General features: G+C 41.8%; 1 protein-coding gene across 5 annotated transcripts in view, besides 1 other annotated feature; it reads left to right on the plus strand.

Annotated features, from left to right (window-relative positions):
* The window catches only part of NCK1 (NCK adaptor protein 1), an 89,399-nt gene that overhangs the window by 4,478 nt on the left and 60,273 nt on the right, over window positions 1-24,648 (plus strand). The gene's annotated exons all lie outside the window — the stretch shown is intronic.
* Window positions 2,388-2,887: an enhancer, noted in NCBI's record as "H3K27ac hESC enhancer chr3:136587915-136588414 (GRCh37/hg19 assembly coordinates)". NCBI's record gives its function as "activates a minimal SCP1, AML or CMV promoter by ChIP-STARR-seq in naive H9 embryonic stem cells {active_cell/tissue: H9 hESC(naive)}" and the evidence as "EXISTENCE:reporter gene assay evidence [ECO:0000049][PMID:30033119]".

Raw genomic sequence — 24,648 nt, forward strand, 5'->3', positions numbered from 1 at the left:
TCACTGCAACCTCCGTCTCCTTGGTTCAAGTGATTCTCCTGTGTCAGTCTTCCGAGTAGCTAGGATTACAGGTGCATGCCACCACGCCTGGCTAATTTTGTATTTTTAGTAGAGATGGGGTTTCACCATGTTGGCCAGGCTGGTCTTGAACTCCCGACCTCAGGTGATCCACATGCGTCGGCTTCCCAAAGTGTTGGGATTACAGGCGTGAGCCACTGTGCCCGTCCAGTTTGCCTAGTCTTTAAAATTTTTTTTTTCTCCTAAATTACCAAGTAGCAAATGAAGTAAAATTTGTTGAATTTTCGCTTTTGGTCCTTTGGTGCAGTCTTCCAAATGTTTTTCCTGTTCCCTATGTTGCTTGCTTTTCTTTCTTTCTTTCTTTCTTTCTTTCTTTCTTTCTTTCTTTCTTTCTTTCTTTCTTTCTTTCTTTCTTTGTTTCTTTCTTTCCTTCCTTCCTTCCTTCCTTCCTTCCTTCCTTCCTTCCTTCCTTCCTTCTTTCTTTCTTTTCTTTCTTTTCCCTTCCTTCCTTCCTTCCTTCCGTCCATCCATCCGTCTGTCCGTCCGTCTGTCTCTCTCTCTCTTTCTTTCTTTCTTCTTTCTTTTTTGACAGGATCTCGCTCTGTTGCTCAGGCTGGAGTACAGTGGCCTGATCACAGCTCCTCATTGTAACTTGAACCTCCCAAAGGCCAGGATTACAGGTGTGCATCAATGTCTGGCTAATTTTTTTTTTTTTTTTTTTTTGTAGAGATAGGGTCTCACTGTGTTGTTCAGACTGGTTTTGAATTCCTGGCCTCAAACGATCCTCCCACCTTGGCTTCTCAACGTGCTGGGATTATAGGGGTGAGCCACTGTGCCTGGTCTGTTGCTTTCCTTTAAACCCATACCCCTTATTATTTTAGTATTCCCTTGGTTTTTAATGTTGTGTGGACTTGAATCATAGAATTATAGAGCATTATTGCTGGAATGTTGGAATCCAACCTTGTGTTTTACAGATAAGGAAACTGAAATACAAATAGACTAGATGCACCAAAATTCAAACATTTAGTGATGGGGGCAGAACAAAGACTCAACCCTTGATCTTCTGACGCAAGTTCTGTGTGTTTATGAAACCATACTACTTCTCATCTCTTGTAATTTTGCCTTATTTGCCTCACATTATTTTGCATTTTGTGTATTTATGCCTTCTCATAGATTGAAAACTTCAGGGCAGGGGAACCTTCATATTTACATTGTAAATTTTTTTTTTTTTGAGACAGAGTTTCGCAGTTTTTGCCCTGGCTGGAGTGCAGCAGCATGATCTCGGCTCACTGCAACCTCCGCCTCTCGGGTTCAAGCAATTCTCTTGCCTCAGCCTCCTGAGGAGCTGGGATCACAGGCACCTGCCACCACACCTGGCTAATTTTGTATTTTTAGTAGAGATGGGTTTCACCATGTTGGCCAGGCTGGTCTCAAACTCCTGACCTCAGGTGATCCGCTCACCTTGGCTTCCCAAAGTTCTGGAATTACAGGCATGAGCCACCATGCCCAGCCTTACATTGTAAATTATTTAAACAATGATATAAAGTCTATATACAGTTTCTTTCCCCTATACTTGTTAGGTGTATTAACACCATTAACAAAAATAATATTGTCATGTTTACCATTGAGTTTTTTTTTTCTTGAGACGGAGTCCTGCTCTGTCACTCAGGATGGAGTGCAGTGGGGCAATCTCGGATCACTGTACCCTCTGCATCCCAGGTTCAAGGGATTCTCCTGCCTCAGCCTCCTAAGTAGCTGGAATTACAGGTGCCTGCCACCATGCCTGGCTAATTTTTGTATTTTTAGCAGAGACAGGGTTTCACCATGTTGGCCAGGCTGATCTCCAACTCCTAACTTCAGTTAATCAGCCTGCTTTGGCCTCCCAAAGTGCTGGGATTACAGGGATGAGCCACCGCACCTGGCCAGTGTTTACCATTGAATTCTATCATCTGCTAAAAAATGAATCTCTTACAGGTTTTACTGCTGCAATTTAGTTTGTCTTTTCGAATCTCTTGATAATGCCAATTAATCTTTGGAGGCCTTGAATGTGGATACAGAACAATGTAATGATTTAGAGGAAACCTGGAGGGCTTATCATATAACTAAATGCAGTGATCTAGCTGTAATGTTCTTTTTCTCTTTTGAGTGTTAGAACTGTAACACCTTCACATTTTGCTACTTTTTGTCCTCTTGTTCATCTGTCAGGAACCATCACTTCTTGTTGAGCAAGACAAGACAAAATATCTTGTTGAGGCCGGGCGCGGTGGCTCACGTCTGTAATCCCAGCACTTTGGGAGGCTGAGGCATGCGGAGCCCCTGAGTCCAGGAGTTTGAGACCAGCCTGGCCGGCATGGTGAAACCCCATCTCTACTAAAGATATAAAAAAATGAGCCCACTGTGGTGGTGCATGCCTGTAGTCCCAGCTACCCGGGAGGCAGAGGCAGGAGAATGGCTTGAACCCCAGAGGCAGAGGTTACAGTGAGCCAAGATCATGCCATTCCACTCCGGCCTGGGTAACAGAGCAAGACTCTGTCTCAAAAAAAAAAAAATTTTATTTGTTCCGCTAGGCCTGATGGCTCACTCCTGTAATCCCAGCGCTTTGGGAGGCTGAGGTGGGCGGATAACTTGATCCCAGGAGTTCGAGACCAGCTTGGCCAACATGGTGAAACCCTGTCTCTACTAAATACAAAAATTAGCTGAGTGTGATGGCGAATGCCTGTAATCTCAGCTACTCAAGAGGTTGAGACAGGAGAATCACTTAAACCCGGGAGGCAGGGGTTGCGGGGTTGTGAGATCCCGCCACTGCACTTTAGCCTGGGTGACAGAGCGAGATTGTCTCAAAAGAAAAAAAAGAAAGAAAGAAAAATCATTTGTTCCATTTGGTGAGTTAGAGTGCTTTTATATGTTTGTTCTTCATGTTTATTTTTCCTCTTAACTCTAAAGTTTCTGTAACAGAAACCATGTATGGTTGCTTTCGTATTTTTCTTATGTGTACGTAACAATAGTTGAATGCTGTAAGACAGCATAGAAGACTATCAGGTAAAATCTCTCTGTGGAGGGAAAGGAATGCTTATTCTCTTGGTCTGTTTTTCATTTATTTTTTGGTTGTTAATAGTTGCTTTTTCTATTTGTTTAAATTATCAGTTAAAAAAACCTGTTAAAACACTGATTCTCTTGTTTCTATTCCTGAAATTGTAAGTAATGATTGCTGAATTGGACATGAATATGGTATGGATAATTTTTGCTTTTGTTCAAACAGCCAGTTGAATAAAACAAGCAGTGAAAATATGTGGAAATATTTAAAAGAATGGATGTTTCTCAAAAGTTTTTTTTTTTTTTTTTTTTTTAAAAGAATCATCCTGGCCCAGCGCAGTGGCTCATGCCTGTAATCCCATTGGGAGGCCGAGGCAGGTGGATCGCTTGAGGTCAGGAGTTCGAGACCAGCCTGGCCAACATGGTGAAACCCTGTCTCTACTAATAATACAAAATTTAGCTGGGCGTGGTGGTGCATGCCTGTAATCCCAGCTACTTGGGAGGCTGCTGCAGGAGAATCATTTGAACCCAGGAGCCAGAGGTTGCAGTGAGCCGAGATCATGCCACTGCACTCCAGCCTGGGTGACAAGGAGAGACTTAATCTCAAAAAAAAAAAAATTCATCCTTTTCTTCCAAAAATTTTAGCACGTATTTTCATATGTTAGTGTGTAGATCAATTCAAATAATAGATACAACAAATACTGTAATATGTTGTGTACCTTGTAATTATTCCAGCTGTATCGCAGAAATATTTTATAAATTTAATAGGGCTGGGCAGTTTTTTTTGGAAATGCTTGATCATTTGCAAGTACTACATGCTCTTGAATAATATATTTTCATTTTTAGAAACATTTAGAATATTTAGTGTACAACCCCTGTCTCCCAGTAATTCTGCTGCCCAAGGAAATCAGTTACTTTATTTTTTCTTTTCATTTCTTAGCTATAGTCTTTAAAAAAAAAAAAAAAAAAAAGGCCTGTGAGGTCTTGCATGATTTGGCTTTTGTCTACGTCTCACTTCATCTCTTGCTTTTGTCTCTTTCCTCTTTCAGCCTTGAATAGCTTAGCCCTTTTTTGCTTTGGTGTCTGTGATCATGCTCTTCCTCAGGGCAGATGGCTCCTTTAGGTTAATCAGCATTAAGTTTGGCTACTAGTATCAGACAGATGCCAAATATTAATTTCTCTCACACCAGAGAAATCCAGGGTTGGCATGGCATTCATTTATTAAATGTTATTTCCAGGTGTGTGTATGTGTTTTGCTATTGTAAATTCTGCAATAAAGATCTTTGTGTATAAGGCTTTACATTTTTTTTCCTTTTGATTAATTCCTGTTGTGGATCCAACTAAAAAGCTTACTAATTTTTTTTTAAAAAATTGTTTAGTCTGGGCATGGTGGCTTATGCTTGTAATCCTGCACTTTGGGAGGCTGAGGTGGGAGGATGCCTTGAGGGTAGGAGTTAGAGATCAGCCTGGGCAATATAGCAAGAGCCGGCCTTTACAAAAGTAAAAAAAAAAAATTAGCCAGGTTTGGCTGTGAGCGTCTGTAGTCCTAGCTACTTGCAAGGCTGGCGGGAGGATTGCTTGAGTCCAAGAGGTCGAGGCTGCAGTGAGCTATGATCGCGCCACTGTACTCTAGCTTGGGGGACAGAGCGAGACGCTGTCTAAAAAAAACAAAATTAAAAATTTGTTTAGAGAAAGTATCTTTAAATGTTTATTGAAAACTGCACAAATTTAAATGTATAGAATGTTTATATTTGTAGATATCTGTGTAGTCATCACTCAAATCCAGATGTGGAACATTTTTAGTGTTCGAAAAGGCTCTCTTGCGCCCCCTCCAATCAGTGTCTCTTTCCCTCTCAAAGGTAATCACTATTCTGTCCTCTATCGCCATAAACTATTTTTGCCTGTTTTTGAACTTTATATAAATGTAACTGATATGGTTTGGCTGTGTCCCCACTCAAATCTCATCTTGAATTGTTACTCCCACAATTCCCACGTGTGGTTGGCAGAACCTGGTGGGAGGTAATTGAACCATGGGGGTGGGCCTTTCTCGTGCTGTTCTTGTGATAGTGAATAGGTCTTGTGGGATCTGATGGTTTTAAAAACGGGAGTTTCCCTGCACAAACTCTCTTCTCTTATCTGCCGCCATGTGAGAAGACATGCCTTTAACCTTGTGCCATGATTGTGAGGCCTCTCCTGCCATGTGGAACTGTAAGCCCATTAAACCTCTTTATTTTGTAAATTGCCCAGTCTCAGGTATGTCTTTATCAGCAGCATGAAAACAGATTAATACAGTAAATTGGTACCAGTAGAGTAGAGTGCTCCTGAAAAGATACCCGAAAATGTGGAAGCAACTTTGGAACTGGGTAACAGGCAGAGGTTGGAACAGTTTGAAGGGATCAGAAGAGGACAGGAAAATGTGGGAAAGTTTGGAACTTTCTAGACTTGTTGAATGACTTTGCCCAAAATGCTGATTGCGATATGGACCATAAAGTCCAGGCTGAGGTGGTTTCAGATGGAGATGGGGAACTTGTTGGGAACTGGAGCAAAGGTGACTCTTGTTATGTTTTAGCAAAGAAACTGGCAACATTTTGCCCCTGCCCTAGAGATCTGTGGAACTTTGAACTTGGGAGAGATGATTTAGGGTGTCTGGTAGAAAAAATTTCTAAGCAGCAAAGCATTCAAGAAGTGACTTGGGTGCTGTTAAAGGCATTCAGTTTTACAAGGGAGGCAGAGCATAAGTTTGGAAAATTTGCAGCTTGACAGCGTGATAGAAAAGAAAATCCCCTTTTCTGAGGAGAAATTCAAGCTGGCTACAGAAATTTGCATAGGTAATGAGGAGCTGAATATGAATCCCCAAGACAATGGGGAAAATGTCTGCAGGGCGTGTCGGAGGTCTTCATGGCAGCCCCTCCCATCACAGGCGTGGAAGCCTTGGAGGAAAAAGTGGTTTTGTGAGCCAGACCCAATGTCCCTGTGCTATGTGCAGCCTAGGGACTTGGTACCCAGCATTCCAGCTGCTCCAGCCGTGGCTGAAAGGGGCCAGCGTAGAGCTTGGGCTGTGGCTTCAGAGGGTGCAAGCCCCAAGCCTTGGTGTTGATGCTGCAATGTGGTGTTGATGCTGCAAGTGCACAGAAGTCAAGAATTGGGGTTTGGGAACCTCCACCTGCATTTCAGAAGATGTATGGAAATGCTTGGATGCCCAGGCAGAAGTTTGCAGCAGGGGTAGAGCATTCGTGGAGAACCTCTGCTAGGGCAGTGCAGAAGGGAAATGTGGGGTCAGAGCCCCCACACAGAGTTCCTACTCGGGTACCGCCTAGTGGAGCTGTGAGAAGAGGGCCACCATCCTCCAGCCTCCAGAATGATAGATCCACTGACAGCTTGCACCATGCGCCTGGAAAAGCTGCAGACACTCAATGCAAGCCTGTGAAAGCAGCCAGGAGAGAGGCTGTACTCTGCAAAACCACAGAGTCAGAGGTGCCCAAGACCATGGAAATCCACTTCTTGGATCAGCATGACCTGGATGTGAGACATGGAGTCAAAGGAGATCATTTTGGAGCTTTAAGATTTGACTGCCCTGCTGTATTTTGGATTTGCTAGAGGCCTTTAACACCTTTGTTCTGGGCAATTTCTCCCATTTGGAATGGCTGTATTTACCCAATTCCTGTACCCCCATCTTATCTAGGAAGTAACTACCTTGCTTTTGATTTTACAGGCTCATAGGCAGAAGGGGCTTGCCTTGTTTTGGATGAGACTTTGGACTGTGAACTTCTAAGTTAATGCTGAAATGAGTTAAGACTTCGGGGGACTGTTGGGAAGGCATGATTGGTTTTGAAATGTGAAGACATGATATTTGGGAGGGGCCGGGGGCGGAATAATATGGTTTGGCTGTGTCCCCACCCATATTTCATCTTGAATTGTAGCTCCCACAATTCCTGTGTGTGGTGGGAGGAACCTGGTGGGAGGTAATTGAATCGTGGGAGTGGGCCTTTCCTGTGCTTTTCTTGTGATAGTGAATAAGTCTTTTGAGAACTGATGATTTTTAAAAACGGGAGTTTCCCTGCACAAGCTCTCTTGTCTGCCGCCACGTGAGACATGCCTTTCACTATGCGCCATGATTGTGAGGCCTCTCCAGCCACATGGAACTGTAAGTCCATTAAACCTCTTTCTTTTGTAAATTGTTCAGTCTTCATCAGCAGCATGAAAGTGGACTAATACAGTAACCATATAGCTTGTATACCTTTTTGTGGATGGCTACTTTTGCTTAACATTGTGTTTGTGAGATTCATTTATGATGTAGAGTGCAGCAGTAGTTCCTTTTCAGTGATAGTAGTATTCCATTGGATGAATATAATGTAATTTTAAAAAATTGGACATTTGATTTTCAGTTTTTTGGCTATTGTGAATAAAGCTATTGTCAACATTCATTTACAGTTTTTTACATTTTTTATACTTTTTTTGAGATAGAGTCTTGCTCTGTCACCCAGGCTGGAGTGCAGTGGTGCGATCTCAGCTCACTGCAACTTCTGCCTCCCAGGTTCAAGTGATTGTCCTGCCTCAGCCTCCCAAGTAGGTGAGATTACAGGCACTTGCCACTACACCTGGCTAATTTTTATATTTTTAGTAGAGATGGGGTTTCACTATGTTGGCTGGGCAGGCTGGTCTCGAAGTCCTGACCTCAGGTGACCCGCCCACCTTGGCCACCCAAAGTGCTGGGATTACAGGCGTGAGCCACCACGCCCGGCCCGTTTACAGGTCTTTAATGAACTTATACACTCATTTCTCCTGGCTGTATATACACATTGGAGTAGAATTGTGCTGTCTTTATCTAGCAGTTTTTGAATCTGCTTGATCTGGCCCTCTATGGCTGATACATAGTAGTTTCCTGGCATTTCTTCCTTTCTGATAAAACTAGCGACTCCCTTTGTCTTTCTCCTGTGTTAAATCTTTTTTTTCCCTTTCCATGAATCATATAGTGTTTTTGTTTGTTTTGTTTTTTGTTTAACCTCTCCATTTGATGGAGTATATCATACAATAGATTCCTGTGGAAGACTGAAATCTTGCATTAATGAAAACTTTTTTTCATGTTCATGCTTGATTTGGTTGGCTAAGGATTCTAGGTTGGAAATAATTTGCCTTCAGAATTCTGAAGGCCTTGCTGCATTGTTTTCTAGCTTGTCATCCTTTTGAGAAGTCTGAAGACATTCTGATTCTTGATTGTAAAAATGTTTTGCTTTTCTGGAATTTTGTGTTTCCTATATTCTGAAATTTCATAAGGTTGTAGCTTGGTGTTACGTCTATTTTTAACAATTTTTCTTGGATATTTGTGTACCTTCTGAATCTGTAAAATTCATTAGTTCTGGGACATTTTCTTTAATTATTTTATTGACAGATGTATTAGTCTTTGAGGACTGTCATAACAATACCACAGTCTGCTCTCTGTTTGTCTGTTATTGGTGTATAAGAATGCTTGTGATTTTTGCCCATTGATTTTGTATCCTGAGACTTTGCTGAAGTTGCTTATCAGCTTAAGGAGATTTTGGGCTGAGACAATGGGGTTTTCTAGATATACAATCATGTCGTCTGCAAACAGGGACAATTTGACTTCCTCTTTTCCTAATTGAATACCCTTTATTTCCTTCTCCTGCCTAATTGCCCTGGCCAGAACTTCCAACACTATGTTGAATAGGAGTGGTGAGAGAGGGCATCCCTGTCTTGTGCCAGTTTTCAAAGGGAAATGGAAAACAAAAAAAGGCAGGGATTGCAATCCTAGTCTCTGATAAAACAGACTTTAAACCAACAAAGATCAAAAGAGACAAAGAAGGCCATTATGTAATGGTAAAGGGATCAATTCAACACGAAGAGCTAACTATCCTAAATATATATGCACCCAATACAGGAGCACCCAGATTCATAAAGCAAGTCCTGAGTGACCTACAAAGAGACTTAGACTCCCACACATTAATAATGGGAGACTTTAACACCCCACTGTCAACATTAGACAGATCAACGAGACAGAAAGTCAACAAGGATACCCAGGAATTGAACTCAGCTCTGCACCAAGTGGACCTAATAGACATCTACAGAACTCTCCACCCCAAATCAACAGAATATACATTTTTTTCAGCACCACACCACACCTATTCCAAAATTGACCACATAGTTGGAAGTAAAGCTCTCCTCAGCAAATATAAAAGAACAGAAATTATAACAAACTATCTCTCAGGCCACAGTGCAATCAAACTAGAACTCAGGATTAAGAATCTCACTCAAAACCGCTCAACTACATGGAAACTGAACAACCTGCTCCTGAATGACTACTGGGTACATAACGAAATGAAGGCAGAAGTAAAGATGTTCTTTGAAACCAACGAGAACAAAGACACAACATACCAGAATCTCTGGGACGCATTCAAAGCAGTGTGTAGAGGGAAATTTATAGCACTAAATGCCCAAAAGAGAAAGCAGGAAAGATCCAAAATTGACACCCTAACATCACAATTAAAAGAACTAGAAAAGCAAGAGCAAACACATTCAAAAGCTAGCAGAAGGCAAGAAATAACTAAAATCAGAGCAGAACTGAAAGAAATAGAGACACAAAAAACCCTTCAAAAAATCAATGAATCCAGGAGCTGGTTTTTTGAAAGGATCAACAAAATTGATAGACCGCTAGCAAGACTAATAAAGAAAAAGAGAAGAATCAAATAGACACAATAAAAAATGATAAAGGGGATATCACCACCGATCCCACAGAAATACAAACTACCATACTTTGTTTTCTAGCTTGGCTTTTATGAACATCCTTCCGTGTCAGTGTATATATAAATCTAAAGGTTTTTTGTTTTTTTTTTAAACCAAAAAACTTTGCCTATTTTGTCTCTGTTATAAAGTTCCTGATTTTCTTTAATAGAGCTGTTTCTACTTTTATTCCTACAAAGAATATACGTATTTTTTTTAGGTGGCTAAAAACTTCATTTTTTTCTCATCTCTAGTATGAGAGTAATACTTAGTCAAAGGATAGCTGTAAGGCTACAGTGAGAATTTACGAATCAGTGTAACTGCTAAGCAGTGTTTGGTATCCATGAAGAGCCTGTCTGGATCTCCCTTCCTGCCTAAGATCAATTTCTAAATGTAAAATAACTGGTTTCAAAGATACAGATGTTTATTTAAAATGTTGCTGACTGTTGCCAAACTGCTATTTAGAAAAGACATTCCAATTTACACCTTTACCACAGTGTTTTTTAACTCTGTGTTATCATTCTTTCTAATCTTTGCCAGCATGGTAGGCAAAAAATGGACAAAACTAAAAGGAGAATTAGACAAATCCATAAGCATAATATGAGATATTTCAGCTTGCCTCTCTGAGTAATTAGAATAATGAGACAAAAATACATAAAAGATTTAAACACTATAATTATCAAATGAATCTAATTGACATGCATTGAATATTTCACCTAATACCTACAGAATGCAGATTGTTTTTAAGTGCCTATGAAAGTTTTTCCCAAATTGACACATGCTGGACAATAAAAAAGATCAAAATAATCAATTCTTGAGTGTTTTCTGACGTGTTGGAATTAAGCAAGAAATGGATTACCAAAAAAACTAGAAAATTGTCAGCTGTTTGAAGATAAGCAATATATTTCTGAGAAATTCGGGGATTAGAGAAGAAATAACATTAAACTATTTAGAACAGAACCATGAAAATATAGTATAACTTAAAGGATGTGTATAGAGCCATGCTTAGAGGAAGAGTTATAGCCTTCAAATCTATACATGAGAAAGAATGAAGGCTAAAAATAATTGAAAGGACTTCTAAATAAAGATGGCTGAGTGAAAGACACATTTACTTTTACTCCCTTTGATAGCCCAGCAAGGTGACAGTAAAGGATACTTTTAGAAGATTTGAACTACACAGGTAAAGAGAATAAAGAAAAGACGGCAACAATAAAATCTGGAAACTGGAAAGCGAGTGAACTGATGGGAAACTTCTTAGTGGACTTAAAAATGTTCAATCCTAAGTGGCGGGAGCAAAAGTAGAAAATACTTCTTAGGCTCAGGAATTGGCAGCATCAGGTATTTTTGGCAGGGAGGAGGTGAGGGTGGTGCTAAAAACAGGAGGATTTCTTGAAAATCTGTTTAAGAAGCAGCTCAGTCATAATAGCCCCAAAGTAGAAGCAACTCAGATGTCCATCAGCTGATAAATGGTTACATGTAATGTATATCCACACAATTAAATACTATTTGGCAGTAAAAAGGAATATAGAACTGATACATGTTATAACATGATGAACCTTGAAAGCATTATGCTGTGAAAGAAGCCAGTCACAAACGACCACAGTATTGTATGATACATGCTATAACACAGATAAACCTTTAAAACATGCTAAGTAGGCCGGACATGGTGGCTCACACCTGTAATCCCAGCACTTTGGGAGGCCAAGACGGGCAGATCACTTGAGGTCAGGAGTTTGAGACCAGCCTGGCCAACATGGTGAAACCCCATCTCAACTATAAACACACAAATTAGCCGGATGTGGTGGCAGGCACCTATAATCCCAGTTACATGGGAGGCTGAAGCAGGAGAGTCGTTTGAACTGGGGAGGTGGAGGTTACAGTGAGCCAAGATAGCAACACAGCACTCTAGCCAGGGCGACAGAGTGGGATTCTGTCTCAAAAACAAACAAACAAATGTGCTAAGTATACTAAAGACCACATTGTATGATTCCATTTGTATGAAGTATCCAGAAATTGTGTATTTGTAGAGATAGAGTGGTTGCATAGGACTGGGAGTAGGGGAGGTTAGAGGGAAATGGGAAGTGACTCTAGGGTATGGAGTTTCTTTTTGGGGTGACAAAAATTTTCTAAAATTCATTGTGGTAATAGTTGCACAACTCTGAATAGACTAAAACATTGAATTGTATACTTTAAATGAGTGAGTTTTATGATAATCTGAGTTGTATCTCAATAAAGCTATTTTTTTTTAAGAAAGGTTGAGTCTAGATTCCTTTGTTAGTTTGTATCACTAAGTTACTGCCTTCTTGAGTACCCCAGCAAGAAGACTGACTATTGTTTCTGACACTGAGGGTGGGCCCTAGACACAATTGGAGGTCAAGCGTTCTACAGAAAACACTGAATTAAGTTAAAATGCTCAATATTGAGACCGTTACTGAGGCCTCTTCTCTTTGGCTTCCAGAATTCTGGCAATCAAGTAGGAATTTGGAGGATGGTTCTCTTACTAACCCAAGAAGAGAATCTGTGTTATTTACAATAGCTTTTATGGCCCTCCTTTTAAATATGAGAAGATAATCAAGGATCACCAGACATGTGAAGAAAGCTTCTCATATAAGAAACCTCTTAAAAGAAATAGAAAACAAACTGGGAACAATCAGAACAACAAAAAAAAAGGCTCAGTAGAACAGTCAATAGAAAAGTTGAAGTTAGAGTAAAGGAGTTCTTTCATAAAGTAGAGGAAAAGATGGAAAATAAATGAGAAAAGAAAATTAAAAGGTCCGTCAGAGGTCAACTTCCAAATAACAGAAGTACTAGTAGACATCAGAGAAAAGAAGGAATTATCAGTAAAATATTCAAGAAAAATTCCCAGAATCAAGGAACGTGATTTTGCAGAATGAGAGGCTCTATGGGTATCCTGGAAAAATGAAAGAAAATAGATATACGCTTTCAATTAAAGCCTAGTCAGGAAAATGGAGACCACACCAATTACTGTAACAGAATCTAAAATAAAGAGTTGTTTAGCCAGATATTATGGGTTGAGTTATATCTTCCTCAAAAAGATATTTTGAATTCTTAATCCCTAGTACTTAAGAATGTGACCTTATGTGCACTATTCACAATAGCAAAGACTTGGAACCAACCCAAATGTCCATCAACAATAGTCTGGATAAAGAAAATGTGGCACATGTACACCATGGAATACTATGCAGCCATAAAAAAGAATGAGTTCATGTCCTTTGCAGGGACATGGATGAAGCTGGAAGCCACCATTCTCAGCAAAATATCACAAGGACGGAAAACCAAACACTGCATGAGTTGAACAATGAGAACACATGGACACAGGGAGGGGAACATCACACATTGGGGCCTGTTGGCGGGTGAGGGGCTGGGGGAGGGATAGCATTAGGAGAAATACTTAATGTAAATGACAAGTTGATGGGTGCAGCAAACCAACGTGGCACGTGTATACCTCTAACAAACCTGCACGTTGTGCACATGTACCCTAGAACTTAAAGAATATTAAAAAAAAAAAAAGGCTGGGCACAGTGGCTCACGCCTGTAATCCCAGCACTTTGGGAGGCTGAGATGGGTGGATCACGAGGTCAGGAGAATGAGACCATCCTGGCTAACACGGTGAAACCCCGACTCTACTAAAAATACAAAAAAATTAGCCGGGTGTGGTGGTGGGCGCCTGTAGTCCCAGCTAGTTAGGAGGCTGAGGCAGGAGAATGGCGTGAACCCGGGAGGTGGAGCTTGCAGTGAGCCGAGATCATGCCACTGCACTCCAGCCGGGGTGACAGAGCGAGACTCCGTCTCAAAAAAAAAAAAAGAATGTGACCTTATTTCGAAGTGGGGTCTTTACAGAGGTAAACAAGTTAAAATGAGGTTATTAGGGTGGACCCTAATCCACCATGACTTCGGGCCTTTTAAAAAAGGGAGAGATTTTGACACAGAGACAGAACACCAGGGAGAAGATGACTATCTACAAGCCAACTAGGAGGGAGCCTAGAGCAGATTCTTCCTAGCATCTTCAGAAGGAACACGTTCCTGCTGAAATACCTTGATTTCAGACTTCTGGCCTCCAGAACAGTGAGAATGTGTTTCCTTGATGTTGCCACTTGATATCTCATGGATCTTGAACTTAAGACAATCAACAAACTTTGTTTGTTTGTTTTTTTGAGGCAGGTTCTTGCTCTGTGACCCATGCTAGAGTGCAGCCTCAATCTCCTAGGTTCAAGGGATCCTCATGTTTCAACCTCCCATGTAGCTAGGACCACCTAGGTGTGTGTGCCACCATACTAGCTAATTTTTTGACCCTTTGTGGAGATGGGGTTCTCACTTCTTTGCCCTGGCTGGTCTTGAACTCCTGGTCTCAAGCAGTCCTTCCACCTCAGCCTCCCAAAGTGTGGGGATTACGGGTGTTAGGCTACCACACCCAGCCAACAAACTCTTGATCCCTTCATTCTTAAAGTACACTCCAGGTCTGCTTTCTGCGCTCTACCCTACATTTGTTCATTCCTGTCTTTCTCATTTCATTAAATGATATTGCCATCCACTCAGTAGCTAGAAGCCAAGGTGTCATACTTGATACCTTTCTTTTCCTCATTCTAACTCACATACTTCCAGTCCATCAGCAAATCCTGTCTTTTCTACCTCCAAATACATCTTGAAGTCTTCTGTTCTTTATCTGCATCACCATACTACTCAAGTCAAGCAGCCATCATCTCTTCACTTACACTATTGGCCTCTTATTTTATTTAATTTTTTTTGAGATGGAGTCTCACTCTGTCACCCAGGCTGGAGTGCAGTGGTGCAATCTTGGCTCACTGCAACCTCTGCCTCCTGGGTTCAAGCAGTTCTTCTTCCTCAGCCTCCTTAGTAGCTGGGACTACAGGTGCACGCCACTACGCCCGGCTAATTTTTGTATTTTTAGTGGAGACGGGATTTCACCATATTGGCCAGGCTGGTCTTGAACTCCTGACCTCATGATCTGCCCGCCTCGGCCTCCCAAGTGCTGGGATTGGAGGCATGAGCCACCACGCCCAGCTTCTATTTTTTATTGTGGTAAACTGCATAAGCATAAAGTTGAACATCTTAACCATTTTAAGTATACAGTTCAGTATTAAGTATATTCACATTGTTGTACAACCAGTCCCCAGAACTTTTTCATCTTGTAAAACTGAAACTGTATACATACTAACAACTCCCCAAGTCTTCCCTCCTCCTAGCCCCTGGCAACCACTATTCTTCATGTTTCTCCTTTATGTTTGTATAAATTTGTTTGCTCTATGTACCTCATATAAATGGAATCATATTGTCTTTCCGTGGCTGGCTTATTTCACTTAATGTCTTGAAGGTTCATCCGTTTTGTAGCACATGTCAAAATTTTCTTCCTTGTTAAGGCTGAATAATATTCCATTGCTTATATATACCACATTTTGTTTATCCATTCATTTGTTGATGAACAGCTTGGGTTGCTTCCACATTTTAGCTGTTAAGAATAGTGTTTCCATGAACATGGGTGTAGAAATATCTGTTCAGGTTCCTGCTTTCAGTTTTTTGATGTACACCCAGAAGTTGAATTGCTGGATTATATGGTAAACTATTTTTTATCTTTTGAGGAACCACCATACCATTTTCCATAGCAGCTGCACCATTTTACATTACCACCAACCGTGCATAAGAGTTCCAATATCATTACATTTTCACTAACACTTGTTTCCTGCATGTTTTTTTAAAAATAGTAGCTATCTTAATGGTGATATCTCTGTGGTTTTGATTTGCATTTCCATAATGGCTAGTGATGATGAGCATCTTTTCATATGCTTGTTGGCTATTTGTATATATTTCGAGAAATGTCTATTTTGTTCGTTTGCCCATTTTTCATTTGGGTTATGTTTTTGTTGAGTCTGAACAGGTCTTTTTATTTTTACTTTTGTCTGTCCATTTAACTCATTCTTCACACAGCAGCACACAACAGCCAGAGAAATGTTTTTAAGATTTCTGCATTAATGATACAACAATACCTCTTACTTGGCAGCATAATACAATGAAAGTTTACATTACTTTCCCACATCACTGTGTGTGTGTGTGTGTGTGTGTGTGTGTGTGTGTGTGTGTGTTGAGGGGCACCTTTGCTTTATGCAGTCACTTGGAGCACAGGCACCTGTATCTTATGTCACCACCATAATCAGCTTTGGCTTCTCAGATTGTTTTGGAAGGGGAAGTGTGTGTGGAGAAAGATTTTAGGGTCCAGGCTAGAAGTGGCATATATCACTTTTACCCATTCAGTTCCATTGGTCAGAACTGAGTCATGTGATCTTATCTAATTGCAGGGGTGGCTGGGAAGTGTAGTATAGCAGTGTCTTAATGAAGAGAACACAGTCATTAGTGAATACTAGCAGTCTCTTTCACAGCGTGTGTTGGATTATAATTTCCTTGCTTAAAACCCTTATTACATGACTTTTTTAAAGACAGTCTCATTCTGTTGCCCAGGCTGGAGTGCAGTGGTGTGATCTCAGCTCACTGCAACCTCCGCCTCCTGGGTTCAAGCAATTCTTGTGCCTCAGCCTCCCAAGTAGCTGGGATTACAGGCATGCGCCACCACACCCAGCTAATTTTTTGTGTTTTTTAGTAGACACAGGGTTTACCATGTTGGCTAAGGCTGGTCTCGTACTACTGGCGTCATGTGATCTGTCCACCTTGGCCTCCCAAAGTGCTGGGATTACAGGCATGAGCCCCCATGCCCAGCCTACTTCTTATTACATGTAGAATAAAATTGGCCTGTGTCTCTCCCAACCTCACATTGTACCACTTTTGCCCTTGTTCTCTGGCCACATCTCTAGCCATACGGTCATTTTCTGTAACGTGAGACTTTTTTTTCCCCTCCTGGAACCTATGTACTTTGCAGTTTCTTTTGCTTGGAGCACTCTACTTTAAATATTTACATGACTGCCTCCTCTTCATCCTTAAAATGCCCACTTAAATTTTTTTTTCTCTAACTAAAAGCTGTAATTAGAGTAGCACTCATATTCTCTGTCCTTTATGGTAGCACTGTGTTAATCTTTGTCACAGCATTTTTTGCAACCTATAATTATTTTATTTGAAAAAATTTAATTTCCTCTGCTAGAAAGAGGTGTCTGTCGTGCTCACTGTTGTATCCCTGCATTAATTGGCCAGTGCTTAGGATACATTAGTCATTCAGTAGATATGTTGTTGGAGGGAATCTATTATATAGAACCGACTGAAATGGAGATAGTTGAATTTTAACCAAGGGCTCTTATGATAATTTAGGTGAGTTGCTGAAGGCTTGAGTTTTAGTGATGTCAGTGTAAATGGAACAGAAAAGGATGGATGAGAGACATTTCAAGAGAAAAACCAACACAAATTGATGTGTGACTTAAGGGGAGCCTGGGTGAATTGGAAGATAATGATTTACAATTATAATTAATAGATTGGTAAAGAGGATAGAAGAGCTGGATTTTTGGAGATGATGCATATTCAATTTTTGGAGATTGATGCATATTCAATTTGAGGTGATAGCAAGATATTTAAGTAGAAATGTTGAGGAACAGTAGCTTGGATTAGAGAACACAATTCAAATTACAGAGTCTAGGCCAGAGGTGATACGATGAAGTCATAATAATGAACGAGCTATCTAGAGAGAGGGTATATGTGAGAAGAGCAGATGGCTCAGTGGAAGGAAAATGAGGAGCCAGAAATGGAAACCAGAAGCAGGTGGCGTGGAGGGAGGGAAACCAATTTAATATAGGGGTAAGGAAACCAGCAGTTTCAAGAAAGAGGGATGATTAAGTTGGCTGCATCCAGTAGAGCTATCCCTTGTCATATGCATTTGAAAGTTCTGAAATGTTACCTTTTATTAAGTAGTTTGAGATCAGAGGGTACCTTGGGTTTTATTTATTCTATAAGAAAGTATAGCTTAATGAGAATGATAGAGTACAGCTTTGAGTTCTTGTCTTTTCTTTTTTTTTGAAACACGGTCCTGCTCTGTGGCCCAAGCTGGAGTGCAGTGGTGCAGGCTTGCTCACCGCAACCTCCGCTTCCTGGGTTCAGGCGATTCTTGTGCCTCAGCCTCCAGAGTAGCTGGGATTAGAGGCGTGTGGCACTATGCCCGGCTAATTTCTGTATTTTTAGTAGAGATGGGGTTTCATCATGTTGGCCAGGCTGGTCTTGAGGTGATCCTTCTGCCTTGGCCTCCCAAAGTGCAGGCTTGAGCCACCATGCCTGAGCTTTTTTTTTTTTCTTTTTTTGAGAGGGAGTCTCACTCTGTTGCCCAGGTTGGAGTGCAGTGGCCTGATCTCAGCTCACTGCAACCTCTGCCTCTTGAGTTCAAGGGATTCTCCTGCCTCAGCCTCCCAAGTAGCTGGGATTACAGGCACCTGCCACCACAACTGGCTAATTTTTGTATTTTTAGTAGAGATGGTTTTTCACCACGTTGGTCAGGCTGGTCTTGAACTCCTGACCTCAAGTGATCTGCCCACCTCGGCCTCCCAAAGTGTTGAGATTATAGGTGTGAGCCACTGCGCCTGCTGAAGTTCTTATGTTTTAGAGATATTTACTTAAATATTTATGGATGAAAATATTTTTTCAGGTATACACTGAAATATTTACATAAATTTTTAGAGGTATACACCGAAATATTTACAGACAAAAGTTTTTTGCTTCAAAATACTTAAGCAAGGAAACAGGAATGGGTGAGAATATGGATATTGTGGCCGTGGACAAGTGGCCATGAGTTGATGATTTTAGCTACATGATGGGTTTAAGGGGTTTGTTCTCTTCTTTAATGTATGTTTGAAATTTTACATAATAGAAATTATAAAAGGAGGGAATTGTCTTTTCCAGCTGTAATCTAGGGCACATTACTTAACTTTTTTGAGACAGGGTCTTGCTCTGTCACCTAGGCTGGAGTACAGTGGCCTGATAACTCTTCAGCTCCTTACGTAGCTGGAACTATAGGTGCATGCCACCATGGCTGGTTAATTTTTGAATTTTTTGTAGAGACAGGATTTTGCCATGTTGCCCAGGCTGGCCTCCAACTCCTGGGCTCAAGTGATTCGTCTACCTTGGCCTCTGAAAGTGCTGCAATTACAGGTGTGAGCCACAGCACCCAGCGTACTTAAACCTTTGAAGCCTTAGTTTCTTCAGTTAAAAATGGTGATATTAATACTGATTGTATCAGTTTGCTGTGGTGATTAATGACAGTGTATTAAAACTACTTAGCATACTTACTCTGTGCACTCATTGTCCAGTAAATATTTCTGAAGTGAAATACAGTGAGATAATACAGTTAGGCATCAAGGTTAAGGGGTTTGTAGAGGGAGAAAAGGTTCTGGGCTCTTTATAGCAACCTTTCATAAGAGATATGTTCTTTTTAGAATGTTATAAAGTTGGAATGGCTAACTTAAAAGCTTCCATAGACATAATATTTATTTATTTTGGCATGTTTTTAATAGGAGTTTTCTGATCTGAACGTGTACAAAAGCAGCAGTACAGTGGTATTTCATCTGTTCTAAACCACATCCTTTTACTGAATGTTATTCCGGAAGCATTTATAAGGCAGGTGCCCCTTTGAAAGACATTGTCCTTTAAAGTAGTTTGAAACTAAATTTTCATTTAACATTAAAGTCAAATGAGGGAATACTTAAGATGGAAGCATGGGTTAATAAAATTGTATTAACACTAATTTCTTAGAGCACCTGACTTAAAGTATATATTTTTTGGTAGTAACTTGGCTATAGGTAGTATATAGTTATCCTTTTTTTTTTCTTTTGCAGTAAAACTTGGTTATGGATAGTATATACTTGTCCTTTGGTATCCATGAGGTGTTGGTTCCAAGACTCCTTGCAGATACCAAAATTTGAGGATGCTTGAGTCTCTTGTGTAAAATGGGGTACTATTTACATATAACCTATGCACATTCTCCTGTATACTCGAACTCATCTCTAGATTACCTAATACATTGTAAATGGTATTTAGGTAGTTAATGCTATATTGTTTAGGGAATAATGACAAGGAAAAAACGTCTGTATATGTTTAGTACAGGTGCTTTTTTTTTTCCTGAATGTTTTAAATCCACGGCTGGTTGAATTCATAGATGCGGAACCCATAGATACAGAGGGCCAACTGTACTAAGAAATTGCTGTCACAGTCTGTAGATGTCATACAGTTTTGTCTCCAGATAAATGAGAGACCTGTGAACACAAAGGAAACTTTCTTGTATGCCTTTTCATTCTCATGTTTTTAAAGTTCGTTCATTTTTTGTTTAGGGAACTTTAATGAGTTACTTAGGCAGAGTTTGGAACTGTCCTGTAGTTACATGATCAGTCTTTTTTTTTTTTTTTTTTCCTATCTTTCTTTTTCTTTTTTTCTGAGACGGAGTTTTGCTCTTATTGCCCAGGCTGGAATGCAATGGCACAATCTCATCTCACTGCAACCTCCGCCTCCCAGGTTCAAGCGATTCTTATGCCTCAGCCTCCCAAGTAGCTGGGACTACAGGCAGGTGCCACCATGCCCGGCTAATTTTTGTGTTATTAGTAGAGACGGGGTTTCATTATGTTGGCCAGGCTGGTCTCGAACTCCTGACCTCAGGTGATCCACCTGCTTTGGCCTCCCAAAGTGCTGGGATTACAGGTGTGAGCCACTGCACCCAGCCCCTATCTTTTATATTGTGTTTTATTTCTTTAGAAATGAGGTTTCACTGTGTTTTCCAGACTGGAGTACAGTGGCTGTTCACAGGCACCATCATAATGCTGTGTGGCCTCCAACTCTTGGCCTCAAACGATCTTCCCACCTTATCCTCTTGAGTAGCGGGGACTACAGGAGTGCACCGCCATGCTCAGCATTTTTTTTCTATCTTAACATAAAATGGAAAAGTTACTGTTGCCTTTTCTCCTGATAAATAGCAGCCTAAGTAAGACTGGTAGTTTGGAATAAAGGATAAGTTAAAAGGGCAGGAAGGTGAGGAAAGAAGTGTTTAAAAATGAAGGCGAGAAGGAGAAAAAGAAGTTGAGAGATAAAGTTTATATTTTCCTGTGCCTTAGTATCGACTTGCAGTGAATTAGTTGAAAGTTGCCTTGCCAGTTACATATAATTGGTGACTTTTAAGTTATTTGTCACCTGGAACAGACATAACTTCTTTAGCATACAATTCAGATACAACTGTCATTGAATTTATGTTTCCATAAAATTGGTGGTAGAATTTTTAGCATTAGGTAGGAGAAGAGGACAGGGAAAGACAGCTGTGTCTCAGGCACTGTACTGTTTTACCTATTTTGTTAAATCCTCACAGCAACCCTGTAGGTAGGTGTTAACTGAAGCAGAGAGGTTAGATAACTTGCTCAGTGTTACACACTGATGATAAATGACAGAGCAAGAATTCAAACTGTAATGTTTCGGTTCTTGTTATCTTTTATTCATCGCCTTTATTGTTTCTTTTCTTTCTTTCTTTCTTTCTTTTTTTTTTTTTCTTTTGAGATGGAGTCTTGCTCTTGTCGCCCAGGCTGGAGTGCAATGGCATGATCTCTGCTCACTGTAACCTCCGACTCCTAGGTTCAAGCTATTCTCCTGCCTCAGCCTCCCAAGTTGCTGGGATTACAGGCGTCTGCCAGCACGCCTGGCTAATTTTTGTATTTTTAGTAGAGACAGGGTTTCGCCATGTTGGCCAGGCTGGTCTCAAACTCCTGACCTCGTGATCTGCCTGCCTCGGCCTCCCAAAGTGCTGAGATTACAGGTGTGAGCCACCGTGCCTGGCCCTCCTTGCTTTATTTTATGATTCCATTCAGTCATTAGTCTTGTCGGTTTTTAAAAAAAGGTTTTATTGAGATATGATTCACATACTATACAGTTCACTCATTAAAAGTATACAATTCAGCTTTTAGTATATTCAGAGTTGTGCAACCATCACCACAATATCAGAATTTTTTTTTTTTTTGAGACGGAGTCTCGCTGTGTCACCAGGGTGGAGTGCAGTGGCAAAATCTTGGCTGACTGCAACCTCTGCCTCCCAGGTTTAAGTGATTCTCCTGCCTCAGCCTCCGCAGTAGCTGGGACTACAGAAGCTTGCCACCATGCCCGGCTAATTTTTTGTATTTTTAGTAGAGACGGGGTTTCACCATGTTGGCCAGGATGGTCTTGATCTCTTGACCTCGCGAGCCACCGCACCCAGCCATATTGGAACACTTTAATCACCTCCCAAAGCAATGCCATACTCATTAGTTGTCACCCCTAACCTCCCCTCTCCGTGTCCTAGGAAACCATTAATCTGCCTTCTGTCTCTATACATTTGCTCATTCTGAACCTTTCATATACATGGAATCATATAGTATGTGGTCCTTTGTAACCGCTTTCTTTCACTTAGTTCAATGTTTTTTTTGTTGTTTGTTTTGTTTTTTTCTTTTTTGAGGCAAGGTTTGCTCTGTTGCTTGGACTGTAGTGCAGTGCTTGATCACAGCTCACTGCAACCTCTGCCATCCAGGCACAAGTGATCCTCCTGCCTCAGTCTCCTGAGTAGCTGGGACTGCAGGCATGTGCCACCATGCCAGGCTAATTTTTTGATTTTTTTTTTTTTTTTTTTTTTTTTTTTTTGTAGAGACAGTCTCACTGTGTTGCCCAGGCTGGTTTTGAACTCCTGCGCTCAAGTGATCTTCCCATCTCTGCCTCCCAAAGAGCTAGGATTACAGGAGTGAGCCACTGCACCCAGCAGCTTGATGTTTCTAAGGTTCATCCATGTTATAGCACATACTGGTACTGTGTCTGGAATTGGTGGGTTCTTGGTCTCTCTGACTTCAAGAATGAAGCCGCGGACCCTCGCGGTGAGTGTTACAGCTGTTAAGGTGGCGCGTCTGGAGTTTGCTCCTTCTGATGTTCAGATGTGTTCGGAGTTTCTTCCTTCTGGTGGAATCGTGATCTCGCTGGTTTCAGGAGTGAAGCTGTAGACCTTCGCGGCGAGTGTTACAGCTCATAAAGGCAGTGTGGACCCAAAGAGTAAGCAGTAGCAAGATTTATTGCAAAGAGCGAAAGAACAAAGCTTCCACAGTGTGGAAGGGGACCCGAGCGGGTTGCCACTGCTGGCTCGGGCAGCCTGCTTTTATTCTCTTATCTGGCCCCACCCACATGCTGCTGATTGGTAGAGCTGAGTGGTCTGTTTTGACAGGGCACTGATTGGTGCGTTTACAATCCCTGAGCTAGGCCCAAAGTTCTCCACCTCCCCACCAGATTAGCTAGATACAGAATGTTGACACAAAGGTTCTCCAAGTCCCCACCAGAGTAGCTAGCTACGGAGTGTCGATTGGTGCATTCACAAACCCTGAGCTAGACGCAGGGTGCTGATTGGTGTGTTTACAAACCTTGAGCTAGAGACAGAGTGCCCATTGGTGTATTTACAATCCCTGAGCTAGACATAAAGATTCTCCAAGGCCCCACCAGACTCAGGAGCCCAGCTGGCTTCACCCAGTGGATCCCGCACAGGGGTTGCAGGTGGAGCTGCCTGCCAGTCCTGCGCTGTGTGCCCGCACTCCTGAGCCCTTGGGTGGTCAATGGGATTGGGCGCCCTGGAGCAGAGGGTGGTCCTTGTTGGGGAGGCTCGGGCGGCACAGCAGCCCATGGGGCGGGGAGGCTCAGGCATGGCGGGCTGCAGGTCCCGAGCCCTGCCCCACGGGGAGGCAGCTGAGGCCCGGCAAGAAATCGAGCGCAGCGCTGGTGGGCTGGCATTGCTGGGGGACCCAGTACACCCTCTTCAGTTGCTGGCCCGGGTGCTAAGCCCCCCACTGTCCGGCCGGCAGGGCCGGCCGGCTGCTCTGAGTGCGTGCGGGGCCTGCCAAGCCCACGCCCACCCGGAACTCCAGCTGGCCCGCCAGCGTTGCACGCAGCCCCAGTTCCCGCTGGCGCCTCTCCCTCTACACCTCCCCCCAAGCTGAGGGAGCAGGCTCTGCCCTTGGCCAGCCCAGAAAGGGGCTCCCACAGTGCAGTGGTGGGCTGAAGGGCTCCTCAAGTGCTGCCAAAGTGGGAGCCCAGGCAGAGGAGGTGCCAAGAGCGAGCGAGGGCTTTGAGGACTGCCAGCACGCTGTCACCTCTCAGTACTTCATTCCTTTTTATTGCTGAATAATATGTAATTTTACAGTTAATACCACATTTTATGCATTCATCAGTTTACAGGCATTTGAGTTTTTTCTCCCTTATGCCTATTACGAGTAATATGGCTACTGGCATTCATGTACATGTTTTTAAAAAGTTATTGTGGTAAGATATGTGTAACATAAAATTTACCATTTTAACCATTTTTAAGTGTACAGTGATAAGTATATTCACATTGTTATGCAGCCATCACCACCACCTGTTTGCATAAGTTTTTCATTTTTGCCACCTGAAACTCTGTACCCATTAAACAACAACTCCCAAGTCTGCCATCCCCCCAACCTCTGGCAATCACCATTCTACTTTCTATCTCTATGAATTTGACAACTCCTGGAACCATGTGTAAGTGAAATAAATCATACAATATTTGTCCTTTATGACTGGCTTATTTCACTGAGTATAGTGTCTTCAAGGTTTATTCACATTGTAGCATGTGTCTAAAGTTCCTCCCCGACCAAAGGCTGGTACTGTTCCGTTGAATCTATATTTACCACATGTTGTTTACTCATTCAACTGATGACAGACACTGAGGTGGAGTTTTGCTCTTGTTGCCCAGGCTGGAGTGCAGTGGCACGATCTCGGCTCATTTGCAACCTCCGCCTCCTGGGTTCAAGTAATTCTCCTGCCTCAGCCTCCCAAGTAGCTGGAATTCCAGGCATGGGCCACCATGCCTGGTTAATTTTGTATTTTTAATAGAGATGGGGGTTTCGC

This window comes from Homo sapiens, chromosome 3 (genome assembly GCF_000001405.40).
Source record: "Homo sapiens chromosome 3, GRCh38.p14 Primary Assembly".
NCBI lineage: Eukaryota > Metazoa > Chordata > Mammalia > Primates > Hominidae > Homo > Homo sapiens.